General features: G+C 37.0%; 1 protein-coding gene across 10 annotated transcripts in view, besides 1 other annotated feature; it reads right to left on the minus strand.

Moving 5' to 3' along the window:
• SLCO6A1 (solute carrier organic anion transporter family member 6A1) overlaps positions 1–15,233 on the minus strand; it is a 127,228-nt gene that overhangs the window by 77,759 nt on the left and 34,236 nt on the right. For 9 of the 10 annotated variants that reach the window (XM_011543148.3, XM_011543147.3, XM_047416703.1 and 6 more), the window contains 2 exons: positions 10,124–10,245; positions 8,850–8,959 (listed from right to left, as the gene is read on the minus strand). The exons of the other annotated variant lie outside the window; for it this stretch is intronic. In XM_011543148.3, coding sequence (XP_011541450.1) covers positions 8,850–8,959; positions 10,124–10,245 — 232 coding nt within the window. The remainder of the gene's footprint in view (positions 1–8,849; positions 8,960–10,123; positions 10,246–15,233) is intronic. 10 annotated transcript variants of the gene reach the window in all.
• Positions 4,432–4,491: an enhancer, noted in NCBI's record as "active region_22854". NCBI's record gives its function as "activates an Ori minimal core promoter by ATAC-STARR-seq in GM12878 lymphoblastoid cells {active_cell/tissue: GM12878}" and the evidence as "EXISTENCE:reporter gene assay evidence [ECO:0000049][PMID:35858748]".

The following is a 15,233-nucleotide window of genomic DNA, read 5'->3' on the forward strand; positions in this document are numbered from 1 at the left end:
CCCGCCACCACACCCAGCTAATTTTTTGTATTTTTAGTAGAAATGGGGTTTCACCGTGTTACCCAGGATGGTCTTGATCTCCTGACCTCGTGATCCGCCCGCCTCGGCCCCCCAAAGTGCTGGGATTACAGGCGTGAGCCACCGTCCTGATTTTTGTATTGACCTCTCTAGTGAGATTGGGGAAATTTTTGTGGACAATATCCTCCAATATGTTTTCCAAGTTGCTTGCTCTTTCTCCCTGTCTTTCAGGGATGCCAGTGAGTCATAGACTTGGTCTATTAACATAATCTCATATTTCTTTGAGGTTTTGTCCATTTTGTAAAATTCTTTTTTATTTTTGTCTGAGTTAATTCAAACCACTGGTCTTCAAGCTCTGAGATTCTTTCCTCAACCGATAATACTCCCAATTATGTCATGAAATTCTTGTAGTGCGTTTTTCAGCTGTATCATCTAGATTTGGTTCTTTCTTAAAATGGCTACTTAAGCTTTCATCACTTTCATCATTTTACTGGATTCCTTATATTCCTTGGGATGGGTTTCAGCATTATTCTGAATATCTAAAATCTTCATTTCCATGCAGATTCTGAATTCTGTCATTTCAACCATTTCATCCTGGTGAATAAGCATTGCTGGGGAGCTAGTGAGGTTGTTTGGAAGTAAAAAGACATTCTGGCTTTTAGAGTTGCCAGGCTTTTTGTGCTGGTTCTTACTCATGTGTGTGGGCTATGTTCCTTTAACCATGGTGTAATTTGACTAGAGTCAGTTGACTTCATTTCTGGATGTTTTCAGAGGGCCAAGGCTTTGTGCAGCATCTTTATTTGTGACAGAATTCCTGTGCTTGGTTTCACAGCGGGATATATTAGCCAAGTATTTTCAGTGTTGAAGTTTGGGCTGCAATCCAGTAGATGGCACTTAAGCATCATGGCCAGTAGGTGGGCTCTTGCTCAGCCATGCAGCACCTCTGTATTTCCTTGTATTTGCAGCCATGCTCTCTCAGTGCTCTGAGAGTGTGGGCTCCTTTCCCACTAGCACTGGCTGCAGATCTCAGCTTGGCATTTCCGGGCTGCGCATCATAGCCCTGGGGCAAGCTGATGCCTTTTCTTCCCTCCCTGGCTTGGAGGCACCAGGGGCAAGGATCTTGGCAGTGGCAATGGCAGAGGGCCTTTCACTAATCTCTTGGGGCTCCACTCCAGAGAAGCACACCAATTGGTATGATTAGCCCAGGGTGAAGCACCTGTGTTGCAGGCCCAAGCCGAGGTGCCCTGCCTAGTAGTGAGCAGGGGGCTCACAGGCAAGAAAGACTGGTCTTTTCTTCACAGGGCAGCCATGGCATGCTGGAGGTGTGAGTACAGCACTCAGACCCTTTATCTCTTTGCCAGCCTAAGGATAGTAACCGTGGTACCACTACAGCAGCAAGGGCAGAGGGGCTGTGAGTTGTCTCTGGAATTTCCTTCCCAGAGAAATGCAGAGCCATCATCAACTGAAGGGTTCAGGTTGGGGCAGGGTGACTGTGCTGGGTGCCCAAGTGGAGAGGCCCTGCCCAGTGAGGAGTCACAGGGGCAGGATTCCATGTGGAAAACAATCTGGTCGCTTTTGTATAAGGAAGCTACACTGTGCAGGAGGCCTGCAATAGTCCTTAAGCTCATTGCTCCCTATCGAGCCTGAGGGCAGTAGAGTGGCATAAATAGCAGGCCTGTCCGTTACCTCTGGGAGCCCCATCCCAGGGATATACAGAGCTGCTACCAGCCTGAGAGCTCAGGCAGGGGTGGGTTGGCTGTGCTAGCATCCCATGCCAGTGAACTTTGTCTGGCAAGGTGTAGTGGAGGCTAGGCCCTCAGTCCATCTTGCTTATCAGCACTGTGGATATGGCCCCTATCCTGGGGGCATGTGAGAGAACCTGGCCTCCTTTATTGGCAGAAACACAGCTGCTAGCATAGGGGTGTTCAGGAGTCCATTGCCCTGGGATTTGGCATGTACCTGAACAGCAGCTCTGCACAGGCTCCATGCAGCTCTTCATGTCATTCTGGAGGCCCTGGATGGAGTGGGTTGGGGGAATCTCCTGTGCCCAGGGTTGCAAAGATCTGTGGCAGAAGTGTGGGACCTTGGGAGCTCTCACTCACTTGCTGTTTCCCCTCCGTGGGGAGCCTACCATGGTTCTATACCAATCCCAGGTGGGCAACTGTCCTGTCTCAGTCTTCCCTCTTCTCCATGGGTCATGTTGCTTCCTTGATGAATCCCAATGTGTCCTCCTGGACAGGCCAGTTGATAAGCTAGTGTTTACTTGCCACTCTGTCTCCTCTCCATGACAGCAGCACACACTAGCTGCTTCTAGTCAGACATCTTGGCACTCTCTAATATAGTTTTGAAAATTATGTTATTTAAATAGGATTTATATTGATTCTTCTTTCTATGATAGCCATTTACTTGCTTTCAAAGGAAATTCATTGTTTTAACTACCAATAGGAAGATGACTAAATAATTTGGACAGCAGCTTCCTTTGATTTATTTTGTCAGCAATTAACAGTCATATAGCAATAATAGCTCACATTCATTTTGTCTTTTACAGTTCACAATATGTTTAATATCATAATATTCATTGACACTTCCTTATTCATCTGAGTCCTATTATGCAAATATATAGTCCCTGTAATAAGGCAGGAAACTTACACGTGAGATGAAGAAAAAGGATAAGAGGGTTGAGCTCTCTGTTCCACACATTTAGAGGGAGCTTTTCCTCTATAAAATATTATTCCTTACCAAATTCCATCCAGGATTTATTTTTTTGCTTTTTGCTTTTCTGTGATCTTTCCTAACCTCCAAACTTTATGTTTTTATTCTTTTTTTAAATATTTCTAATCCATTTTATTCTTACAGCTATAGAGAGGTAGCTTTTTTCTTATCCTCTGTTCTACCTTCTGTTCTAAAAGTCTAATTCCAACTACTTTTACATTTATAACTTTTAACCTCGTGGATATTATAACTGCATAAAAATGTTAAATATTTTGTATTTGTTTCAGCTTTTATACTTTATTTTACTTGCATCTATCTTGTCTACTTTAAAACTATTAAAATTACTGACATTTTCATAAACTCTTTCCTTTCCTTTTTGGAAAAATGTTTTAAAAAACATAATGACCTGCAAGAAACATGGTAAGAGTAGATAATCCATTCGAAAAATAGCTAGTTTTTTGTCTCACTTTATAAAAATTCATTACAAGAAAAGACTATTTTTTAAAATCTATGCCTAGACACTCAGGAGAAGTATATTTAAACCAGCTCCCAATCAATAAGTCTTATAATGATGGTGACATATGATTTCTTTGTTGGAATGATTTTCTAGTTGTCCTTGTGTCAAGAGTTTCTAAACAGCCATTGGATTTCAAGAAAATGATCCAAACCAAATGGCATGAACCATGAGGGATAGAACTATAGAATTAATAGAGAAAGACAATTGGCCTTTAGCAAGTTAAGTTCCTCCAAATACTCTTTTTTAGTTTTATTATTTTCCAGTCAGTTTTCCACTCTTTTATCAAGATAAAAGGAAACTTTGGTTATGTAGTCCCCCTAATTTTTTGTGCAATTCTTCCCCTAATCTAAAATCAGAGATATCTCACATAAGCCCAGTTCAAGACCAGCCTGGGCAACATAGTGAGATTTCTCTACATAAAATTTAAAAATTAGCTGGGTATGGTGATGTGCACCTACGGTCCCAGCTACTCAGGGGGGCTGAGGGAGACTGAGGCTGCAGTGAGCCATGATCATGCTGCTGTGTTTCAGCCTGGGTGACAGAGTGAGACCCTGCCTCAAAAAAAAAAAAAAAAGAAAGAAAGAAAGGAAAAAAGCAAACATTTTAAAAATTCTTTTGAACATTCTTATAATAGTTTACATGAAGTCTTTGTTTACTACATCCAACACCTGAGCCACCTCAGAGACAGTTTGTACTGACTTTTTCTTTATATGGGCCACATTTTCTTCTTTCTTTGCATTTTTCATGAGGTTTTGTTGAAAATTGGACACTTTAAATAATACGTTGTAGCTTTTCTGGATTCTGACTTCCCCACCCTCAGGAGTTGCGTTATTGCTGTTTTCTGTCTCTTGTTTATTACTTTTCAGGACTAATTAAATAAATTCTATCTTCCTAGGAGTATGCAGCCACTGAAGCCTATGTTCTATTTTTAATTATTTTCCTCATTTTTAAGCCTGGCTTCCCAGGAGTCACCCTGGGTCAGCATACCTTGATGGCCACCCAATAATTGGGCAGGGGTTTTACTTAAATATCTTGAGTCAGTAGGGCTTCCACTTTTTGCTGAGGGGATCTGTACATGGATTGGATCACATATTCAAGTTTCAGGCAGTTTACAAGCTACTTTGACTTTCACTTTCTGTTTATGTAAGGACTTGTGCTCAGCCAGGAACCAGTAGATAACTGGGGCCATCTCTGACCTCTCCTGAGTGTGTGAACCCTTTCAGATCCCCATGAATATATTAAAGCTTTCAAAGCCTAATATCATTGGCCAGATATATCTTTTACATTTTTGGCTGGTTTACTGTTTCCCCTAACAACTATTGCTGCCTCTGGTAGCTACGATGCTGGCCTTTTCCAAAGACTGGCCACCAATATTGTAATTGCTGACTACAATGTCCCAGGACTTTTCCATGGAGCTCAAAACTAGATCAACCACCTCAAGTGGCAGGAAGACTGTTAGCCTTCACTGTTACCAAGACATGGAGGGTAGGGAGGAAAGAAAAGACAATGGATGCAGTCCCAAATTTAAATGCCACAGACCCTACTCTTCTAACCAATGCTCAATAATTCTTGAATAAATGCTTTCAATTTATTGTATGCCTTTGCTTAATTTCCAGAGTTTCAAAATAGTTGTTGACAATTCTGCCAGTTTTACCACCACATTTTGGAGGTCAGGATTTTCCACGTTTCTCTCTTTGCAATTCTAAAAGTGCCACCTTCTGATAAACTTCAAAAAGAAATCAGATATCATCTAGTTATCTACTCAGATAGATGTTAGTCAGAAGTCTAAGATTGTTACCAGGCATTATATGGTTTTATATCCTGTCTAACAATAATAATAAAATCCTCCATTTCCAAGTAAGAAGAATTGGAATTGGCTTGCTTTTTTTTTTCTTTTCTGGCAGTAAACTTAAAACAAACAAAAAAAACCTTAAAACACTCATGTTTAAATTTTCTGAAGTGTTTTTAATAATTGTGTCTTAATTTTTAGCAATATGAAAGAGATTATAACTAATTGGCTTCTGTATAGTTAAAATATATGTACATGTAATATTTTGATAAAAATTAAAACTAAATACAAATCTGAATTAAATGTAACCAATTAGGAGGGATGGTTTATGATTTGATTAAAAGATAAACACAGAATAGAAACAAGTAAACATATTTCTGATTTTATACAACATACACATTTGTTTTAGGATTAAACCAGTATAACAAAATATATATAAATATATATATATATATATATAAATTATGTTATAACAAAGATCTATGAAAACATTAAGGAGGGAGAAACTCATTTTGCCTGGGAATATAAGGTGAGATTTGACAAAGAGTTTTTTTATAATAGAGAAGAGAGACAATGACATTTTAAATAGATAGATTAGCATCTACCAAAATACAGGACTATAAAATTACCTAATGTGTCCAGGAAAGACCAAGTGGCTGGAATGTGGAGGACAGAGGGATAAAATTCTAAGAAAATGGGATAGGAAAATTCAGTTGATGCTACTGTGAAAGATCTTCAAAGTCCTATTAAAGGGTATGAAATTCATCTATCAAGTAATCTGAGAAATGGCGTGATAAAATCTGTATATGAGAAATACAATTTTGCAAACAACAGAAAGGATGAAGTTATGAATAGCAGAAGAGAAAACAAATGGAAAGTCAAATCATTATTTAAGTTGGTGTTTTTTAACTCTACAATGTCTATATTGTAGACCTTGTTTCACTTAGAAAAACAAAGATTTTCTTCATTTAATATTGAGATATTTTCCACAAAACATGATGCTTGTGGGACTATTTTTCAACTTCTAGAGTTCTCTTCTGAGTTACTTAAACATAATAAAAAAGATAATATTGATACATGCATGTCATCCCATTAAATGCCTTATTTACTTCTGCAGAGAAAAAATTAACACGAAATAATATAAAACTAAAAGAAACAGAAGGAAAATACCTGGTGCCAATCTCTGACACTAGTCAAGTTATTGGCAAAGCCAGCCCTATTTTTTATTATCTGTAAAGTGAACAAGTTAGTTAAAAGACTTCAAAAGTCTTGATACAAAAATCCTCAATAAAATACTGGTGAACCGAATCCATTAGCACATCAAAAAGCTTATCCACCATGATCAAGTGGGCTTCATCCCTGGGATGCAAGGCTGGTACAACATATGCAAATCAATAAACATAATCCAGCATATAAAGAGAACCAACGACAAAAACCATATGATTATCTCAATATATGCAGAAAAGGCCTTTGACAAAATTCAATAACCCTTCATGCTAAAAACTGTCAATAAATTAGGTATTGATGGGATATACCTCAAAATAATAAGACCTATCTATAACAAAACCACAGCCAATATCATACTGAATGGGCAAAAACTGGAAGCAGTCCCTTTGAAAACTGGCACAAGACAGGGATGCCCTCTCTCACCACTCCTATTCAACATAGTGTTGGAAGTTCTGGCCAGGGCAATCAGGTAGGAGAATGAAATAAAGGGTATTCAATCAGGAAAAGAGGAAGTCAAATTGTCCCTGTTTGCAGATGACATGATTGTATATCTAGAAAACCCCATTGTCTCAGCCCAAAATCTCCTTAAGCTGATAAGCAACTTCAGCAAAGTCTCAGGATACAAAATCAATGTGCAAAAATCACAAGCATTCTTATACACCAGTAACAGACAAACAGCCAAACCATGAATGAACTCCCATTCACAATTGCTTCAGAGAGAATAAAATACCTAGGAATCCAACTTACGAGGGTTGTGAAGAACCTCTTCAAGGAGAACTACAAACCACTGCTCAACGAAATAAAAGAGGATACAAACAAATGGAAGAACATTCCATGCTCATGGGTAGGAAGAATCAATATCGTGAAAATGGCCATACTGCCCAAGGTAATTTATAGATTCAATGCCATTCCCATCAAGCTACCAATGACTTTCTTCACAGAATTGGAAAAAACTACTTTAAAGTTCATATGGAACCAAAAAAGAGCCCTCATTGCCAAGACAATCCTAAGCCAAAAGAACAAAGCTGGAGGCATCACGCTACCTGTCTTCAAAATATACTACAAGGCTACAGTACCAAAACAGCATGGTACTGGTACCAAAACAGAGATATAGACCAATGGAACAGAACAGAGCCCTCAGAAATAATGCCACATATCTACAACCATCTGATCTTTGACAAACCTGAGAAAAACAAGCAATGGGGAAAGGATTCCCTATTTAATAAATGGTGCTGGGAAAACTGGCTAGCCATGTGTAGAAAGCTGAAACTGGATCCCTTCCTTACACCTTATACAAAAATTAATTCAAGATGGATTAAAGACTTAAATGTTAGACCTGAAACCATAAAAACCCTAGAAGAAAACCTAGGCAATACCATTCAGAACATAGGCATGGGCAAGGACTTCATGTCTAAAGCACGAAAAGCAATGGCAACAAAAGCCAAAATTGACAAATGGGATCTAATTAAACTAAAGAGCTTCTCCACAGCAAAAGAAACTACCACTGGAGTGAACAGGCAACCTACAGAATGGGAGAATATTTTTGCAATCTACTCATCTGACAAAGGGCTAGTATCCAGAATCTACAATGAACTCAAACAAATTTACAAGAAAAAAAAAACAACCCCATCAAAAAGTGGGCAAAGGATATGAACAGACACTTCTCAAAAAAAGATATTTATGCTGCCAAAAGACACATGAAAAAATGCTCATCATCACTGGCCATCAGAGAAATGCAAATCAAAACCACAGTTAGATACCATCACACACCAGTTAGAATGGCGATCATTAAAAAGTCAGGAAACAACAGGTACTGGAGAGGATGTGGAGAAATAGGAACACTTTTACACTGCTGGTGGGACTGTAAACTAGTTCAACCATTGCGGAAGTCAATGTGGCGATTCCTCAGAGATCTAGAACTAGAAATACCATTTGACCCAGCAATCCCATTACTGGGTATGTACCCAAAGGATTATAAATCATGCTGCTATAAAGACACATGCACATGTATGTTTACTGTGGCACTATTCACAATAGCAAAGACTTGGAACCAACCAAAATGTCCAACAATGATAGACTGTATTAAGAAAATGTGGCATATATACACCATGGAATACTATGCAGCCATAAAAATGATGAGTCCATGTCCTTTGTAGGGACATGGATGAAGCTGGAAACCATCATTCTCAGCAAACTATTGCAAGAACAAAAAACCAAACACTGCACGTTCTCACTCATAGGTGGGAATTGAACAATAAGAACACATGGACACAGGAAGGGGAACATCACACACAGGGGCCTGTTGTGGGGTGGGTGGAGGGGGGAGGGATAGCATTTGGAGATATACCTAATGTTAAATAATGAGTTACTGGGTTCAGCACACCAACATGGCACATGTATACATATGTAACTAACCGGCACGTTGTGCACATGTACCCTAAAACTTAAAGTATAATAATAAAAAAGAAAAAAAAAGTCTCACCCAGATTTAGGTTGAACCCTTTATGGGTATTTTCATAAGTTCATTATTAGAAAATTAAACAGGTCAACTTAGTTGGATTGTTCAAGTAAAATATTTTACTTTACCCAAAGAGCAGCACATAAATCCTTGATATTAGTTCCAAGTTTCAGATCTTTAAGTCTGCTGTCAAAAAAATGAAGCTGTTTACGTTTCCTAGCTTTTATCCGTGTTGAACCTATATATAAACAAGTAAAAAAACTTATGACATATTCAAATAACTAAAACCCATACATAAAACCTACATACACACCCTAATAAATTCAATTAATCCTGAAATGGCAAATGAGTTATTTTTGAACAAGCTAAACTCAATCTCATTAATTAAAAGACACAATCTTCTAAAACAGTGTTGTCCTGAAGAACATTCTGTGATAATGAAAACTTTCCATATCTGCCCAGTCCAATACTGTAGCCACTAGCTACACATGGCTGTTAAATACTTGAAATGTAGCTCCTATGACTGAATAAATAAAATTTTAATTTATTTTAAAATTTAGCCACACTTGATTTGCCCTAAAATATGAGGGAATAATCTTTGATATAACTAAAACTATTTTGTGCCAATGAAATGTACTATAATCAGGAGAGTTATTTGATTTCTTTGACTTTACATGTATTTTTCAGTGTTTCTAAGAAAATTTTAACAGTTATTATTTTATCTTACAATTCTAAGGTAGTCAATACATTAAATGCTAGGTAAGTAGATTTAAATATGCTTGTTTTCAAGACACTGTATGAACTCTAGATATAAAGCATCTTTAAAAGGAAATAATGAGAAACAAAAATATGCACTAATTCTAATGAAATTCTGGTCCAGGTGTGGTGGCCTACACCTGTAATCTCAACGCGTTGTGAAGCTAAGGTGGAAGGATAGTTTGAGGCCAGGAGTTTAAGACTAGCCTGCACAACATAGCAAGACTCCATCTCTAGAACAAAAAGGAAAAATTTTAAAAACTTGCTGAACATGGTGGCATGCACCTGTAGTCCAATTCTACTCTGGAGGTGAGGCAGGAGGATGACTTGAGCCCAGAAGTTTGAGTCTGCAGTGATCTGTGATCATACCACTGCACTCAGCCTGAGTGACAGAGCAAGGCCCTGTCTCAAAACTAAATACAAAGAAGAAGAAATTCTGGTACATAAATCAAATAATATTTGGCTGTAATGCTGCTTTATTTGCTTAAATAACACTAGCACTTGACACTGTATCTCTATGACAAACCACTACAGCGAGAGGCATACTCATTTTATTAAAAATGTAATACAGTCATTCTATGAGAATAAGAACCATGGTGGAAGAAACTACTATCCTCCAATTTAATAAATTACATTTTATAGTCACCTGGCATATTGTTTGGAAAGCATGACAATGGTATTAATGTACACCATGCAACGACAGCGGCAAAAAGAAAATTAATCCACCAAGTCCATAGCCATTCTGGACTACCATTATTGACTGTAGTGCTTTAATAAAGAAAAGTGAAAAAAAAAAGCAACTTTAGGTATTTGATTACAACAAAACCATAATCAAACAGAGTGGAGAAAGTGAGAGTGAGAGAGGGAGGGTTGGAGAGTGAGACAGAAATGGAACTTTTTTTGTTAATTTGTTACTATTGTTTGTTTTGTTGAGTGGGAATAATTGTGAGTCCCCAATTATGTGCTTGTTTTGTCTTACAGGATTCTAATATTTTCCCTTTTCCTTCTTTTTCTTGGCACCACTCAGGTAGCAAAAAGTACTTGTTTCTTCCTATTTAACTTTTTTTTATCCACCAGAAGCTATGTATTTGGAACACTACCTTTTTAAATCTTACCTTTCCTTTAAAATCATTCTTAAAAATCAAGCACTGAGACCTTTATGACAAGCTTGGCCCCTTATGTTGCAGAACTGAAGCTTTTTATGGCATTTAATCCTTTCAATTACAAATATTTTGAAATCCCTTTCTTCTAGTCCCTTCTCCGAACTTTCAGATTTAGTGTGAATGTATCCTTCTAGTTATTATTCCAAATCACCCTTAGGACCCTTTGCTGTCTTCTGTCTTCTCTGCAATTTTTCTTCATCTGCCTTTGTTCACCATAAAGCCTTGCAGTGGGGAAGGTGATATTGGAAAGTCGAGGATTCTATGCTGGGATTTGTTATTATTCTCATTTTACTCATAATTATTTTGCAGTTTAAGCATACTTTGTCTTCAGTTAATGCTGAAGCCAGGGATTTGTGGAGAATTTTCATAGTTGTGAAGCTATTCTATCATTTAAGGAGGAGATTAGGGGAGGTTGATTAATACATAGACGCCATTGTCTTCTACTTCACACACATTTAAGACCCCCTCCAAACAGTCATTGTGGGAAAATGCTCACATCCACAGAAACCATAGTTTTGGAAGTGCTGGTTTTTCATGGGTGTTTCTGTTGCCAACCAAGATCTGGTGAACAACTTCTTACAGACCTTGTTTCTCATAGGAATGTAGAGAATGTACACTGTCTTATTCACTGATGGGACAGCTCTTTGTCTACTGCTAGCATTATTAAGGAATAGAAATTCCAATTTTCCTAGGGTTGCAGTCTTGATTGTCATTACCCACTTATCTCATATATATATATATATATATATATATATATATATATATATATATATATATATATATCTGCATATGCTACACTCAGGGAGTTTCAATTCCAGATTGTCACTAGGGCTGCATGTTTCCTCATTGATTATAATAGTCAGGAGTTTTTTTCACTTTTGAACCCAGCTATGTATTCTAACTATATACATTATATTACATGTGATTATTACATATGTGTGTATAATTGTGTACCCGGAAGAGGTAGGGAAATCAACTAAAAAAACTATCAATTGGGAAAAACAATATAATGGTTATATATAAAATATAGAGCTTCCATTCACAATACTAACAAATGTATGAAATGCCTAGGAATAGGCTTAATGGAATATGTTCAATAAAGGAAATTATAAATCTTTATTGAAGGGTATAAAAGAAAAACAGAGAAAATAGTGTAACATACCATATGTATAAAAAGATAACAGTCCTAATGTGGCCCACAAATTCAAGTAATTCAAATCAAAATGCTTTGATTAAAACCTGAGAGTATAAAATTTAGATTGAAGAGTCATTTTGCAAACATAGCCCCAATGTTGGATGAAAAACAATAATAAATGGGTACTTCTCTTACCAAATAGAAAACTATACAATAAAGCTTTAGTAACTAAAATATTGTAATATTGGCATGGGAATAGAAATGTTTGTCAGGGAATAGATTAAATGAGACAAGAAGGAAATCTATGGATACAGGTAACTTTAGTTTATGATGAATATGTGTTTTTTATTGATATTAAATACCATCATGATACATAAATGTCATCAGTGCAATTAGATATCCTGTTGAAGGAAAAAGAGAAGCTTGGCCCATGCCTCTTATATGCAAAAATAAACTGAAATTGAATGTTAAATATAAACATACAAACACATTTACAAAAGTACTGGAGAAAATATAGTCAAATATTTTAACAAGTTTATAGAGCATAAGAACTTCTTGTCCTAGCCAGAGCAATTAAACAAGAGAAAGAAATAAAGGGCATCCAAATCAGTAAAGAGGAAGTCAAACTGTTACTGTTCACCAATGATATGATTATATAGCTAGAAAACCATAAAGACCCATCCAAAAATCTCCAAGAACTGATGAATGAATTCAGTAAAGTTTCAGGATAATGTATCAATGTACACAAATCAGTAGCACTGCTATACACCGACAATATCCAACCTGATAAACAAATCAAGAACTCAATCTCTTTTACAACAGCTGCAATAAAATAAAATAAAGTAAAAATACTTAGGAACATACCTAACCAAGGAGGTGAAAGACCTCTACCAGGAAAACTACAAAGCACTGCTGAAATAAATCATAGGTGACACAAATGAATGGAAGCACATTCCATGCTCATGGATGGATAGAATCAATATTGTGAAAATGACCATACTGCCAAAAGCAATCTATTGATTCAATGCAATTTCCATCAAAGTACCAAGATCATTCTTCACAGAACTAGAAAAAACAATCCTAAAATTCACATGGAACTGAAAAAGAGTCTGCATAGCCAAAGCAAGACTAAGTAAAAATAACAAATCTAGAGGCATCACACTACCTGACTTCAAAATGTACTACAAGGCTATAGTCAGCAAAGCAGCATGCTACTGGTATAAAAATAGGCACACAGACCAATGGGACAGAATAGATAACCCATAAATAAAGCCAAATACTTGCAACCAACTGAACTTTGACAAAGCAAACAAAAATTTTAATCGGGGAAAGGACGTCCTATTCAACAAATGGTGCTTGGATAACTGGCAAGCAACATGTAGAAGAAAGAAACTGGATCCTCATTGTCCATTTATACAAAAATCAACTCAAGTCTTACCTTATTGTCTTACCTTATACAAAAATCAACTCAAGATGGATCAAAGACTTAAATTTAAGACCTGACATCATAAAACTTCTAGAAAATAACATCATAGAAACTCTTCTAGATGTTGGCTTAGGCAAAGAGTTAATGAACAAGAATCCCAAAGCAAATCCTAAAGCAAAAATAAAGATGAGACCTAATTAAACAGAAAAGCTTCTGCACAGCAAAAGAAATAATCAGCAGAGAAAACAGACAACCCACAGTGTGGGAGAAAATATTTGCAAACTATGCATATGACACAGGACTAATATCCAGAATCAACTAGGAATTCAAACAAATCAGTAAGAAAAAAACAATCCCATCAAAAAGTGGGCAAAGAACATCAATAGACAACTCTCAAAAGAAGATATACAATGCCCAATAAACATATGAAAAAATGCTCAATATCACTGATTATCAAGGGAATGCAAGTTAAAACCACAATGAGATACTACCTTACTCCTGCAAGAATGGCCATAATTAAAAAATAAAAATTAGATGTTGGTGTGGATGTGGATGTGGTGAGAAGGGAATACTTTTACACTGCTGGTGGAAATGTAAACTAGTACGATCACTATGGAAAACAGTATGGAGATTTCTTAAAGAACTAAAAGTAGAACTACCATTTGATCAAACAATCTCACTACTGGGTATCTACCCAGAACAAAATACGTCATATGAAAAAGACACTTGCACATACATGTTTATAGCAGCACAACTTGCAATTGCAAAAATATGGAACCAGACTAAATGCCCATCAACAAATGAGTGGATAAAGAAAATGTGGTATATATACACCATGGAATACTACTCCACCATAAAAAGGAACAAAATAGGCCGGGCACGGTGGCTCATGCCTGTAATCCCAGCACTTTGGGAGGCCGAGGCGGGGGGATCACCTGAGCTCGGGAGTTCAAGACCAGCCTGACCAAAGTGGAGAAACCCCATCTCTACTGAAAACACAAAATTAGCCGGGCGTGATGGCGCATGCCTGTAATCCCAGCTACTGGGGAGGCTGAGGCAGGAGAATTGCTTAAACCCAGGAGGTGGAGGTTGCAGTGAGTCGAGATTGCGCCATTGCACTCCAGCCTGGGCGACAAGAGTGAAACTCCGTCTCAAAAAAGAAGAAAAAAAAAAAAAAACAGGAACAAAATAATGGCATTTGCAGCAACCTGGATGGAACTGCGCATGTTCTCACTCATTAGTGGGAGCTAAGCTATGAGCATGTAAAGGCATAAGAAGAAATGTAATGGACTTTGGGGACTTGCAGGGAAGGGTAGGATGGGGGGTGAGGGATAAAAGACTACACATTGCGTACAGTGTACACTTCTCAGGTGGTGGGTGCACCAAAATCTCAGAAATAACCACTAAAGAACTTATTCAGGTAACAAAAAAAAACACCTGTTCCCCAAAAACTATCGAAATAAAAAAACAGAACTTCTTACGCAAGAAAGAACATTCAAAGTTTACGGAAAGAAAAATATTGACATATTTGATGATAAAAAACTTTTAAAGTTTCTATAATATACCATATACAAAGTTTAAGGACAGATTGGGAGAAATTATTTGTCATAGGTCTAGCAAACAATTAATATCCATAATAAGTGAAGAATTTTTATAAATCTATAAGAAATAATGAACCAATATAAAAATAAGACAGGAAATAAGAAGCAAATTCAAAAAAATACAGAAGGTTAATATACATACTGAGTCCTAATAATACATTCTCTTTGAGTAATTTAATAAAAGGGACTGTTTAAGTGACATAAGGAAAGTTTAAAGAAATCTGTATGGGAAGAGATGGTATCCTGGGTCTTGCAACAGAAGAGAGCCATTACCACCTGAAAAGGTGCCTGAAGAGGCAAGAGGAGACAGAAGTTAAGTGAACTCTACAGGTGGTTGTATCAGAGGGTCATAAGACAAATGTAGCCTTTATTAAAGAGACACCACCAAGCCATTGAGATTCATCAGGAAAGGAAAGGAAAGAATAAATATC

This window comes from Homo sapiens, chromosome 5 (assembly GCF_000001405.40).
Source record: "Homo sapiens chromosome 5, GRCh38.p14 Primary Assembly".
Lineage (NCBI taxonomy): Eukaryota > Metazoa > Chordata > Mammalia > Primates > Hominidae > Homo > Homo sapiens.